This window comes from Homo sapiens, chromosome 9 (assembly GCF_000001405.40).
Source record: "Homo sapiens chromosome 9, GRCh38.p14 Primary Assembly".
In the NCBI taxonomy this organism is placed as follows: Eukaryota; Metazoa; Chordata; class Mammalia; order Primates; family Hominidae; genus Homo; species Homo sapiens.
In genome coordinates, this window is record NC_000009.12 from 126954775 (window position 1) to 126967642 (window position 12868).

General features: G+C 45.3%; 1 protein-coding gene across 56 annotated transcripts in view; it reads left to right on the top strand.

Annotated features, from left to right (window-relative positions):
• Window positions 1-12868, top strand: part of RALGPS1 (Ral GEF with PH domain and SH3 binding motif 1) — a 308385-nt gene that overhangs the window by 39993 nt on the left and 255524 nt on the right. For all 56 annotated transcript variants that reach the window (XM_011519233.2, XM_047424120.1, NM_001322321.2 and 53 more), the window contains 2 exons: window positions 7451-7572; window positions 11070-11177. In XM_011519233.2, coding sequence (XP_011517535.1) covers window positions 7516-7572; window positions 11070-11177 — 165 coding nt within the window. In that variant the 5' untranslated portion in view covers window positions 7451-7515. Of the gene's footprint in view, window positions 1-7450; window positions 7573-11069; window positions 11178-12868 lie in introns of those variants that run through there.

Here is a 12868-nt window from a genome sequence, read left to right on the forward strand (position 1 = left end):
CTGGGACCTGGGTGACAGAGTGAGACTCTGTCTCAAAAGGAAGAACCTCTCTAGCATTCCCTCCAGTATACTCCAAATGAAACCCCAGCTCCTCACCATGGCCTACAAGGCCATTCATGCCCTGGCCCCAGCCTGTCTGTCGACTGCTTCCAGGTGACTCAGCTCCAGCCATGGCCTTCTCCCTCCATGATAAACCTGCTAGGCTCATGTGCATCTCAGGGCCTTTGCACTTGCTGTTCCCTCTGCAAAGAATACTCATATTCCCACTGGTTTGTATGGCTGCCTCCTTCCTAAGGTTTCAGCTTACATATCGCATCTGTAGAGAGTCCTTCCTTGACCATCCTGGCAAATATCATCTTTCACCCTATTTCATTTCTTTAAGGCATTTATCAGTATCTTAAGTTACCTTCTTTGTTATGTTTATTTTCTGACTGCCTACCTAGAATATAAGTTCCGTGGCAGCAGGGACCTTCTGTGCCTGCCCACCTTGTGTGCCCAGTGCCTGGGACAGAGGTTCTTGACCAGAGTATCTATGAATTTGGATGGAAAAAATGACATTCATTAACTTTGAACTGAAATTTAGCATTTCTCTCATTTATTAATATAGACAGTGAACCACAGTAATATTAACAGTACCTGGGACTTGGTCACCAGTGGAAATCTCAGATATTTTCATGTCACATAACATTCGTGGGCAACTCAGAATATCTGTGCTCATAACTACTTTGAAATTACGGTAGTTATTAGACTCCCCAATAGTTCTTGTTATTGAATACAATAATAAAGATATATATTCCCTTACATAAAGAAATACATATATTACTACATAACAAATTATTTAAAAAACAATTTAATATATTTTAATATAATTTTTTGGTATAATTTTATGCATTTAAAAACATTTCTATGAGAAGGAGCCCGGAGGCTTCACCAGACTGCCAGAAGGGTCTAGGACAGAAAATCGTTAGCAACTGTTGGTTAGGACAGTGTCTAGCATGAGGTAGGGACACAGTGAGTGAATGAATAGTGTGTGTCTTCCCCTTTCCAGTGAGCCAATGCATTTCCAGGGTCAGATTTCCCGTGGATTGGCATGAACTTGATGTTTAGGAACGAGCTTTGGTCAAGGTCTTGTGGAAGTCTACTCTAACTGCCTGATGCTGACAGAGAGGCATTTATCGCCGGGCCCTGGGCTGCTCTCCTTTTCTTTCAGACACAGGCTCTTTCTTCAGTTCCTGCCTGTGCATCTGCTTCCTCCCCCTGCTTTCATCCCTCTGACCAGACTGTCCCTGCATGGGGCCACTGTCTACTCCCGAGGGTGTGGCACCTTAGCTTAGTTGACCAGCAGAGACTTAATATCTCAGGGTCCTGAGTTCCTAGGAGAACCAGGGGGCACCCTGGTCTAGTCAGTCTGGCTTAGGAAGCACAGTTCCCTATCTTCAGGGCCCTACTCTGGGTAGGGAAGCTGTTCTCAGGGCGGGGCTAGGCCAGGCTAACCCCCTCAGTGGCAGTCTGCTCCCTGATACAGAACTGGGGGCTCAGCCAGGCCTCAGGGACTGAAGTTGGATGGGTGGGGGTTTCTCTGAGCCTTGAAAAGGACAGTCCGTTGTACTTGATCCTGTACTTTCCTAGTATGTGAAGTATCACTTGTCTGAGAGTCGCTGCCCATAAATTCGGCCATTTTTGTCGGGGGCGAGACATGCCGGAGTCAGACTGGAAACAAGTGCTCTGTCTTTCCTTCTAGGTCAGACCTCCCGTATAAAGCATAATGGGTAACACACTACGGCTGCCATGCTTCATCTGTAGGTGGGGTGGGCCACAGGGGGAAGATGGGCAGGTTGAGAGGACTCCTGTACTTGGACCCCTGGACTCAGCTATGCTCCCTGGGGAGCCTGGAACCCACTGCTGATGATCCCCTTCCCAGCAGTGGAAGCCCATGGTTTTACAAAGCATGATACTGTTCTTTCTCAGACACTTAAAGTTAATTTTTTGTTTGTTTTAGGAAAAAAGAATAGGTATAAATGAATAGAAAATTGTATGATAACACTGACACCGATAGTAACTGATAATCTTGATTGAGTACTTGCCCTATGTCCAGCCCTGATGGAGCATTTTAAACACGTTTCCTCATCCAGTGCTCACCCGGACTCTTGCAAGAGGCAGTGTCAGGGATGATGAAGAGCCCAGGCCTTGGCATTGACTGACTAGGGTTTGCACCTCCCAGTCCTGCCACTAACTCACAGCAAGTCACATTACCTCACTGTGCTTCCATTTCCCTGAAGTCTGTAGTCTTTACCTCATGGGGCTGTTGTGACGATTAAATGAGCTAATCATGTGATGCTTAGCCGGGTGCCTTGCACAGCACCTGCACTCACTTTAGTGCTGGTGGTGGTGTGTGGAGCGGAGCCACCCAGTGAAGCTGAAGAAGTGGGTAGCGTGGTGGTGCCCTTCAGATGGGCAGAGGGTGTGCGCCGATGGCCAGTGACAGAAGAGGGCCTGAGGGCTGTGTTGAAGGGCTGTGAGACTTGAGAATTCAGTTGTTAGGAAAGCAGGGAGAGCAAGGCCTCTCGTTTGGGCCAGGCTGAGCAGTTTGAGCTCCATGTCTGGGCTCCCCTTGGGAAGAGCTACAGAGTGCCAGGCACACCCAGAAAGGAGTCAAGCCCACTTCAGCCTGGGCCTGAGATAGGCTGGATCCACTCAAAGAGGATCAAGCTGGCTGTCTTCCATTTGGTCTCCTGTGGTGACTCTCTGTTAGGCCTGGATTGAGTCACTTTAATCCTGTTTGAACTGATCTGAACAGGTTCCATCCATACCAGCTGGTTTGTTCTGGCTTAGAACAGACAGGCTGAGTTGGTCAGCCTTATACTGCCTTTGAATCTTGAGATGGATTTACTTTTAGTCTCAGTTTTTGGTTTCCCATTTTGAAGTGTATGGGTTTTTCATGGGAGTTTCTGTTGGAGGGTCCCAGCCACTCCATCCTGGGAAGCCTTTCCTTGCCTCCAGGGGCTGTTTCCCTCCTCTCAGTGCCGTCTCTTCTGCACTAGACATTCCTCAAAGTTTTTTGCTTATTAATAGTATCCTGGATAAGTGTGGTGACTCATGCCTATCTATAATCCCAGCACTTTGGGAGGTGAAGGTGGGAGGATCGCTTGAGCCCAGCCTCAAGACTAGCCTGGGCAATGTAGTGAGACTTCATTTCTACAAAAAATAGAAAAAAATAGCTGGGCATGGTGGCACGTGCCTGTAATCCCAACTGCATGGGAGGCTGAGGATCCCTTCAGCCCAGGAGTTTGAGGTTGCATTGAGCTATGATTGCAGCACTGCACTCCAAACTGGGAAACAGAGCTGTCTCTTTAAAAAAAAAAAAAAAAATATATATATATATATACACACACACACACACATATATGTGTATATATATGAAATTTCAAGGGGAATGGGGGAGGGAAGAGTTAAACATGTAAGTTCAGATCACCATCATGAAACAGAGCTGAAGGTGCTTCTTTTATTGCAGTATAATTTATATTTCATAAAACCCACCCCTTCTAATGGTATAATTGTATGATTTTTAGGGAATTTTTAGAGCTAACTGCCACCACGATCCAGTTTTAGAACATTTCCATCCCTCAGAAACTCCTGTGTCCTTGTGTAGTCAGTTCTGTCCCTTCCCCTGGCCCACCAGTGATGTGCACTTTTGTCGCTCTAAATTTGCCTTTTCTGGACATTTCCTAAAAATGGAATCACACAGTACATTCCTTTTCATCTGTCTTCTTTCCCCGAGCATGTGTTTTAAGGTTTGTTGGTGAAGTGGCTGTATCAGTGCGTCACCTCTCTGTTTTGCTGGATAGTGCTCCATCCTGCGGTGTGTCGACTGAATTCTCTGTCCGTTTACCAGGTGATAAACATTTGGAGGGTTTGTAGCTTTTGGCTTTTATGAATAATGGTGCTATAAGCATTCATGTTCATGTCTTTGTGTGGACATATGTTTTCTTTTTTTAGGTAGATACCTAGGAGTAGAATTACTGGGTCATGTGATAAATTTATATTTAACTTTTTAAGAGAATACCAAACGATCTTTCAAAGTGCCTGTGCCATTCTGCCTTCCCACCAGCAACGCGTGAGGGTTCTGTCTCTGCACATTTTTGCCAATACTTGTTATGGCCTGTTGTTGTTGTTTTCTTTTGTTTTTAATTATAGCCATCCTGGTAGGTGTGATGTGGTATCTCATTATGGTTTCATTTGTGTTTCCCTGATGGCATTTCTCTTGTTAGCCATTCATGTATCTTCTTCTTCTTTTTTTTTTTTTTTTGAGGTGGAGTCTCACTCTGTTGCTCAGGCTGGAATGTAGTGTGCAATCTCTGCTCACTGCAACCTCCGCTTCTTGGGTTCAGGCGATTCCCCTGCCTCAGCCTCCTAAGTAGCTGGGATTACAGGCATGTGCCACCACATCTGACTGATTTTTGTCTTTTTAATAGAGATGGGGTTTCATCATGTTGGCCAGGCTGGTCTCAAACTCCTGACCTCAGGTGGTCTGCCCACTTTGGCCTCCCAAACTGCTGGGATTACAGGTGTGAGCCACTGTGCCTGGCCCATATATCTTCTTTTGTGAAATGTCTGTTCAAATCTTTTGTGGAGCTGCTTTTTAAAGCTGCACCAGCTGTGGATCTGTGGTTCTTGGTGATGGCAAACGTGGCTTCTCTCAGGACAAAAATGACTATCAAATGAGACTTCTCAGCCCGTCTCCTCTCCTTGCTCATGAAAGAGGACTTTGGCCTCTCCAGCTCAGCTGTTTCTCTAAGGAAAAACTTTACCTGACCAGTTCTTTTTTTTTTTTTTCTTTTAACTATGAAAATTATCAAGTACTTGGAAAAGTGCAGAGACTGGTACAATGAACTCCTCTATACCCTCTTGACTAGATTCAGCCATCGTTATCATGCTGGCATATTTGCCTTGTCTCTACTCACATATATTTTGCTGACCCATTTTAACCTAAGTTTTAAACTCACTTTACGTCTATATGTTGACACACACCTCACTAAGGATAAAGACCTTTTCCTACTTAACCACTGCATTGTTATCATACTTAGGAGAATTGACAGAAAGTCAGTGGTACCCTCTAAGATCCATAGTCAGCTTTCCCCAGTTGATTCCCAAATGTTGTTTATAGGGCAGGCTAGTTCTTCTGAGTGTTCTTGGGAAGAATGGGAAGGTAGAAGGCTCACAGGATAGAACTGAGGAGGGGATAACTGAAGTGGATATATTGTATTGGAGCAACTTTGAGGGATGAGAGAAGAGTCATTGTCAGCACTGGAGATGTACCAGGAGAGAACCTGGGTCATTTGGACATTCCTTTTTGGTTGCTTGCCCCTGTTTCTTCCCTTTCTTCCCTTCCTTCCCTCCCTCCCTCCCTCCCTCCCTCCCTTCCTTCCCTCCCTCCCTCCCTCCCTCCCTTCCTTCCTTCCTTTCTTCCTTTTTTTTTTTTTGATGGAATCTTGCTCTATCACCAGGCTGGAGTGCAGTGGTGAGATCTTGGCTCACTGCAACCTCCGCCTCCCGGGTTCAAGCAATTCTCTTGCCTCAGCTTCCCAAGTAGCTGGGACTACAGGCGCCTGCCACCACGCCCGGCTAATTTTTATGTTTTTAGTAAAGACGAGGTTTCACCATGTTGGCCAGGCTGTTCTCGAACTCCTGACTTCAAGTGATCTGCCCACCTCAGCCTCCCAAAGTGCTGGGATTACAGGTGTGAGCCACTGTGCCTGGCCACCCCTGTTTCTTTGACAGCATACTTCTGTGTGCCAGGCCCTGTGACTGAGGGACCTGGGAGGGTTGCAGATGGAGTCAATATCATCAGGCTGACTTTTTCTTCTTTTTGAGCTACCTCCAAAGACTGGAGCCAACTGCAATTATCCAGGCAAATCATTTTTCGCAGTGACCTTTGGGCTAGATCTTGCTCTCCAGGATTGATTTTCACATAGGCATCACAGATTCGGCATTTCCCAAATCAAATTCATCATCCTTCCCCCAAATCTGCTATGTCACCTCTGTTCCTTCCTTGAAGAAGGACACACCATCCTTCTGGTACCTCATGCCAAAAACCATCTCATCCTCAGCTGGTACTTCTGCCTCCCTCCACTTCAGTGCCTGGGGAGTCTCTGTCCTTCCTGTCTCTCAGTCTCTCTCCCCTCTGACTTGACTGCCGCAGCCTCAGCTCAGGGGCCCTTCCTTACCTCTTGCCTGGATAACTGCAGTTGGTTCCAGTCTTTGTCCTCTCCTCGCCTTCCTCCCAACTCCCTCCTTACTCTCCTGGTCACTTGCCACTAAAAAGCTGTCAGTGGCCACAGCTTTCTGCGTTCAGTGATGTGGTAAATGCTCTTCTAGAGGTGTGTGCACTTGGGTGACAGAACAGCTGGCTCTGTTTTGGGTTGTTCAGGCATGATAGCCAGAAGAAGGGACATTTGAGCAGGGTCTTGAATGATGACAGGGTGGCAGGGTGGCATGAACAAAGCCATCAAATAATGAGATATCTGCCTCCCTGTGCCTCAGTTTCCCCACATGCAATAGGGTGTAATGATAGGACCTACTTCAGGATTTTTGGGTTAGATGAGCTAATGTATGCCAAGCATGGCATATGGTACTATATGGGGTTAGCTATTACCCAGGTTATTATGGATGAAGAAGTGTGGTGCCAGGGGAACACAAGAGAATTTGCTTGTCTTCTTCACCCTGCCTTTGGTTTAAAAGAAAAATCAAGGCTGGATGCGGTGGCTCACACCTGTAATCCTAGCACTTTGGGAGGCCCAGGTGGGAGGATTGCTTGAGCTCAGGAGTTTGAGACCAGCTAGGCAACATAGCAAGACCCCACCTCCACAAAACAATTAGTGGAGCATGGTGGCACATGCCTGTAGTCCCAGCAACTCGGGAGACTGAGGTGGAAGGATCACCTGAGCCCAGGAGGTTGAGGCTGCAGTAAGCCGTGATTGAGCCACTGCACTCCAGTCTGGGTGACAGAGCAAGACCCTGTCTCAAAATAAATAAGACAAAGATCACAAACTCTAGTGCCTGCAAGGGCCAGGCACGCACTGAAATGGTCGCACAAGCTAACTGGGGACTCAAAGGCCCTGCTCCAATCCAAGGGGCAGCCACCACTCAGCTGGCTGATGGTCACCATACAGTAAAATGGGCCCAGTATTGCCAGAAAAGTCAGAAATGCAGAATTCTATGTGAAATCTTCCAATTTTTAAATGTTGGTTATTAATTTTAAAAATATTAATACCCTGTACAAGCCCATCAAACTGTATCTGTGGGCCATAGTTAGCCTGAAAGCCACTAGCTTATGACCTTTCTTTAAAGGTCTCCTCTGAGATGATCTGCTCAAGTCTGGTACAACTTTTGCCTGGGGGTGGGGATAAATTTGTTTTGAAGACTGATTTTTATGAGCCCCTTTGCCTTGCAGGACTTCTCCAGACAGGTTATGTTACCTGCAGAGGCTGCCCTGAAGCTCCCTGTGGCCTGGAGACTATGTACAAGAGGAATGGTCTGATGGCTAGCGTGTTGGTCACCTCTGCCACTCCACAGGTACTGAGGCTGCAAGAATCGGGACAGTGGGTAGAGGGGTCTCCTTTCAGCTAACCCAGGCCCCAGCTGAGCCTTGGACAGCGAGGCAGTAGGGCTCTGTGAATACCACCATTCTTAGCACTCCTAAGGCCCCTGGCCATGCCAGGCGTGAGATTTGGGAGGCAGTCAGCCCTGAGGATCAGCGTGTTTTCTGAAGTTGTTCTCTTCAAAGAAAAACAAATACCTGCCCAGTCCAGCTGTAGCAAGTGCCACATTCCATTTTGGTGGCAAGAAGGGATCAGACCTTTCCCAGGAAAAGCCGCTGCTGATTATAAATAAGTCACACACATTCCGGAATGAAGTCAGACAGAAGTCATTCCAACTGGCCCTGGGTTCTTATTTACCTTGCTCAGTGGGAAATGGTTATAAGGACTGGTGGTCTGCAGTGGCCTGGGCTAGGGCCCCTGCTGTGGGGTTTGAGAGTTTGATTTCCATGCTCGGTAATGGCACAGAAGCATGCAGGAGGAGTGGGTGCCATTTGAGGCCCAAGATGCCACCACCCTATTGTGTGTGTAACGCCTGCTCCTCGGACAGATTGGCAAGGCCATACCAGGGTTTGAGCCCACAAGGCCCTCCTCATTATGCTAGGCTTTTGAAGTGATCCTGGGTAACCTGCCAAAAAGTCACAGGAATCAGTTAGTTTCTTATAAACCTTTCAAGAAAATTCGGTGTTTTGATCTCTGGTCCTGAAATCGGGATAGGTTTAAGTAAAGCTGTTGCTGCAGCAGAATTGTCATTACCCTCATCATCATCACCAATGAATGTATTTGGGGCAGCTTTTGATCAACACGTCCCCTTGTATGATTGTGTGTGTTTGGGGCAGATACAATGGTGTGTCACTGGAAAGTTATAATACCCGAAATCCCAGGAATGGACTCCTTTTTGTAACTAGAGGAGTCAGACTTCTATTTCCATTTAGAGTGAAGCTTCTTTCTTCTCTGGTCTGTATGTGTATATATGTATATGTGTGTGTGTGTGTATATATATATATTTGAGTGTGTATATATATGTGTATACACATTATACACATTCACACATATATGCTGTGTATATGTACATATATGTGTATCCAGCACAAGGTAAGTACTCAATAAATATTTTTTGAATAAATGAATGAGCAAATGATGAATACATGTATAACTGAAGTGCTCAATAAATTTTGATGACTGAGTGATACATTTACACCAACATAGCCCCATAATTTGTTGCTTACTATATACCAGGCACTTTTTTGCATGTTCCATAGGCACTGTCTAATTTAATATTCACAATAACCCCATCAGGTGTATATTATTATTTTATCCCTAGTTTATAGATGAGGAAGCTAAGGCACAGACAGGTGAACAAGCTGGCTTGGAATCACACAGCTGCCATGTGGGTGGGGATTCAAAGCCAGGCCTCCCTGACTCTCGAGCCGGTGCTCCTAACCATGACATTATACCATCCAAAAGAAAATCCACCCTGTCACCCTGATATATTCTGTTTTCTGGAAGGTGGGTATAGAAGTATAGAACGGTTTGTACAGAATTGTCTGCTCAGGATCTACATATGAGACTGGGAGATGGAGTAGACTGCCGATTCCAGCAGCATCAGGAGAAATCTTTATAACTTTTCAAAAGTTCACTCTGCGTAGGTTCTCCTCAGGGGAGAATGTCCTGTCACTGTGGAACTTTAAAAATAGCCATGCCTGGGCTGGGTGTGGTGGCTCATGCTTGTAATCCCAGCACTTTGGGAGGCTGAGGTGGGTGGATCACCTGAGGTCAGGAGTTCGAGACCAGCCTGGCCAACATGGTGAAACCCTGCCCCTACTGAAATTACAAAAATTAGCCAGGCATGGTGGCGGGTGCCTGTAATCCCAGCTACTTTTGAGCTACTTGGGAGACTGAGGCAGGAGAATCACTTGAACCCAGCATGTGGAGGTTGCAGTGAGCCGAGATCACAGCACTGCACTTTTGCCCGGGTGACAGAGCGAGACTCCCACTCAAAAAAAAAAAAAAAAAAAGCCATGCCTGAGCTCACCCGAGTCCCCTTGAATCAGCCCTCCTGGGGATGGAGGCAGATTCTGCCAGTTATTTTTTAAGCTTTATTTTATATAACCCGTACTATAGCCCTGGGAAGTAGGTTTAATATCACCATTTTACAGATGATAACTGAGACTCAGTAAAACGAAGTTATTCGTCTGAGCACAGACAGCAACTGGTGTGGAGCTGGCATTTTATCCAGGCCTATCTGACCTCAGAGGTCTTAACCACTATGGTATACTGCTTCTTAAGATCATCTTAAGAGTTTTTGGTATAGTAGACTCATTTTAAAATCTTTTGATGACACAGGCCTATCGAAATCTGCAGGTTTAAGTTCCTGCTCCTCTTTTTAACCTTACATTTGCAGTTGTTGACTATTGGTTTCCCTCACTGGCCTAAAAGCACTCTAGTTTTCAGGAAGATTACAAAGTTTTTCCAGATATAGCCATTTTGGAAAGAGTGAAATAAAGAAGAATTAATAAAAGCATATTCTCTAAATCCCAGTCCAAGATGTTGAGGTTAATGGAAACCACAAAATCCTTCTTCGTGAGCTGAGACGAATAAAATCATTTATGAACAGGGCACAATTTTTGGGCGGTAAGCTTGATTGAGCTTGATGAAGTTAAATTAAAGAGAAAGTATATTCAACATTCTGGGATCCCCACAGTGTTGAGATTCGTGAAATCAGCCACATTTGAGGAGTTTTAACTTGCCTTTTTATGGGAGACTCTTTCATATACATGCAGGATGCAGAGCGTCCTTAGCACAAAGGACTCTACTAAATATAACTTTCACAACAGCCTCTAAAGCCAGTTGGTTACCTCTCACCTCATTAGCAAGCAGGCTTTGAATTCCAAGTGCCCCGCATGATAAATAAGCCTTGAGAGCTACTTTCACATTTTGTGTAACAATTTCCTGCAGTGACTTCAAGTAGGAAAAAACCAGGTAATGTTTGAAAGACATCATGAGGCAGATTGTCTCCTCAGGCCTCCTAAGACATGCAGTCCTGTTCTCCCTCAAGGAAGATTGGGCTGTAATTTTTTTACCCCACCACTAAACCACTGGCCAGAGAAAGTTAGGGTGTGGCAACTGAAGGTATGTGTTTTGGGGTCGGATAGATACAAAAGTAAGTTTACTTTCTGGCTTTCCCTTTCATAGCTGAGATACCTTGGAGAAGTAACATTGCCTCTACTTCCTTCTCTATAAAATGGGAACAATAATAATTTGTACTCATAGGGCACATGTGAGAAGGAAATAAGATCATACACATGCAGTGCTTAACATGGTGCCTGGACTGGGGTAAAGCTCTAATCAATAGAAGCCATTTTTTATTGTACTATTCCATTGCTCTCCCATCCTGAATTCCGAGGAGGTTTGGGAGGCAATGATTCCACGTCATATCATTCAGTTGGCACCATCTTTCCCTGCTCTCCACAGGGCAGCAGCAGCTCGGACTCTCTGGAGGGCCAGAGCTGCGACTATGCCAGCAAGAGCTATGATGCCGTTGTCTTCGATGTCTTGAAAGTGACCCCAGAGGAGTTTGCTGTAAGTGAAACAGGGCTGGTGTGGGTGGCTGGGCACCACAGCAGGGCACTAGAGGGAGCCACCACTTAGGCTTTGGGCTCAGATTGGAAACATTCTATATGCCCAGCAAGAGGGGAGTGTTGAGTAAAGTCCGTACCACCCTTTGTGAAATACAATGCAGCATTAAAAAGGATGCTGTCTTGAAATTAACTACCCTGGAAGGCTGTACGCTATATATATAAATGTGAAAGGAGCAGACTAAAGCAACGTTTGTGGAGAACGTGCAATTTAAAAAATTCATGTACAGACTGGGCAAGGTGGCTCACGCCTATAATCCCAGTGCTGTGGGAGGCTGAGGTAGGAGGATGGCTTGAGCCCAGGAGTTCGAGATCAGCCTGGGCAGCATAGGGAGACTGCATCTACAAAAAATGGAAATAAAAAAATTAGCCAGGTGTGGTGGCACACACTTGCAGTCCCAGCTACTCAGGAGACAGGTGAGAGGATTGCTTCAGCCTGGGAAGTTGAAGCTGCAGTGAGCTGTGATCATGCAACTGTATTCCAGCCTGGGTGACAGAGGAAAACCCTGTCTCAAAAAAAAAAAAAAAAAAAAAAGCATGTACAACACACATATGACATGTATTTGCATTTGCATGAGGTCTAGATTTTTTGTTTACATATTCATAAATGTCTGGATCTATATAGCCAAACATATTATTTACTGTAGTATTTGGTTATAGATTCCAGGTAATTGGAATTTAATTTTTCTTTTTGTTTATGTATACTTTCTATATTTTTATAACAACCATTTTCTACAATGATAAACAATATTATTTGGGCAATTTAAAAAAATATAAATTAAAAAAAAAGATATATCTTCAACCAATGTGTTGCTCCCGGTCTAACTAAGGGACTGTCCCTTGTGGTGGAGCAGTGTTAGCTCCTTGTTTTGCCATGACTTGGTTTCCTCTTTTTGAACTTTGACAGTAGAGGGAGAATATTGATTCTGGGGTGACCTCAAACCTGATTGAGAGTGTTGTCCAAGCGTTGAACTTCTCTCCAGAACCCTGAAAGTGTTTCTAACCCATACCCACGTCTCCTCTACCCTCTTTGGTAAAAGAGGTTTCTTGTCCTCCTAGGTGCCAAGGGAACTAGCTGGGCCCCATGTCATTGCTCTGCCATCATTGGCTTCTTCCGTGTTTACTTTGTGCCAGGCCATACTGAGCCTGGCACATGCATCATCTCCTTCAGTGTGTCTGAGGGATCATTTTAAAACCTTCAAACTCTCTAGTGGCTCCCTCCTACTAGAATGAGACCCAGAGTTCCTCCTGAGGCCTCCAGTACTCTCTATGGTCTGGCTAAGCCTCCTCTTCTGCCCCCACCTCTGTGCTCTCCCACTGTCTCTTTCTTCCCCAGGCTCACCTGCATCCTCTGTCCTTTTCTTTTTTCAGTCTTCATGGCTCTTCCTTAGTTGTCTGCTCACTCTGTGTTCAAATGTCTGTCCTTAGGACTTTCACTGGGCTAAAGTAGCATCTTTCCATCATTATCTTTCTCCTTACTCTGCTCTGTTTTTCTTCATAACTCTTATTACTACCCAACATTACATTATAGAATAATTTTTTTTTTTGAGACAGCATCTCATTCCATCACTTAGGCTGAAGTGCAGTGGCACAGTCACAGCTTATAAAAGCCTCAATCTCCCTGGCTCAAGTGAT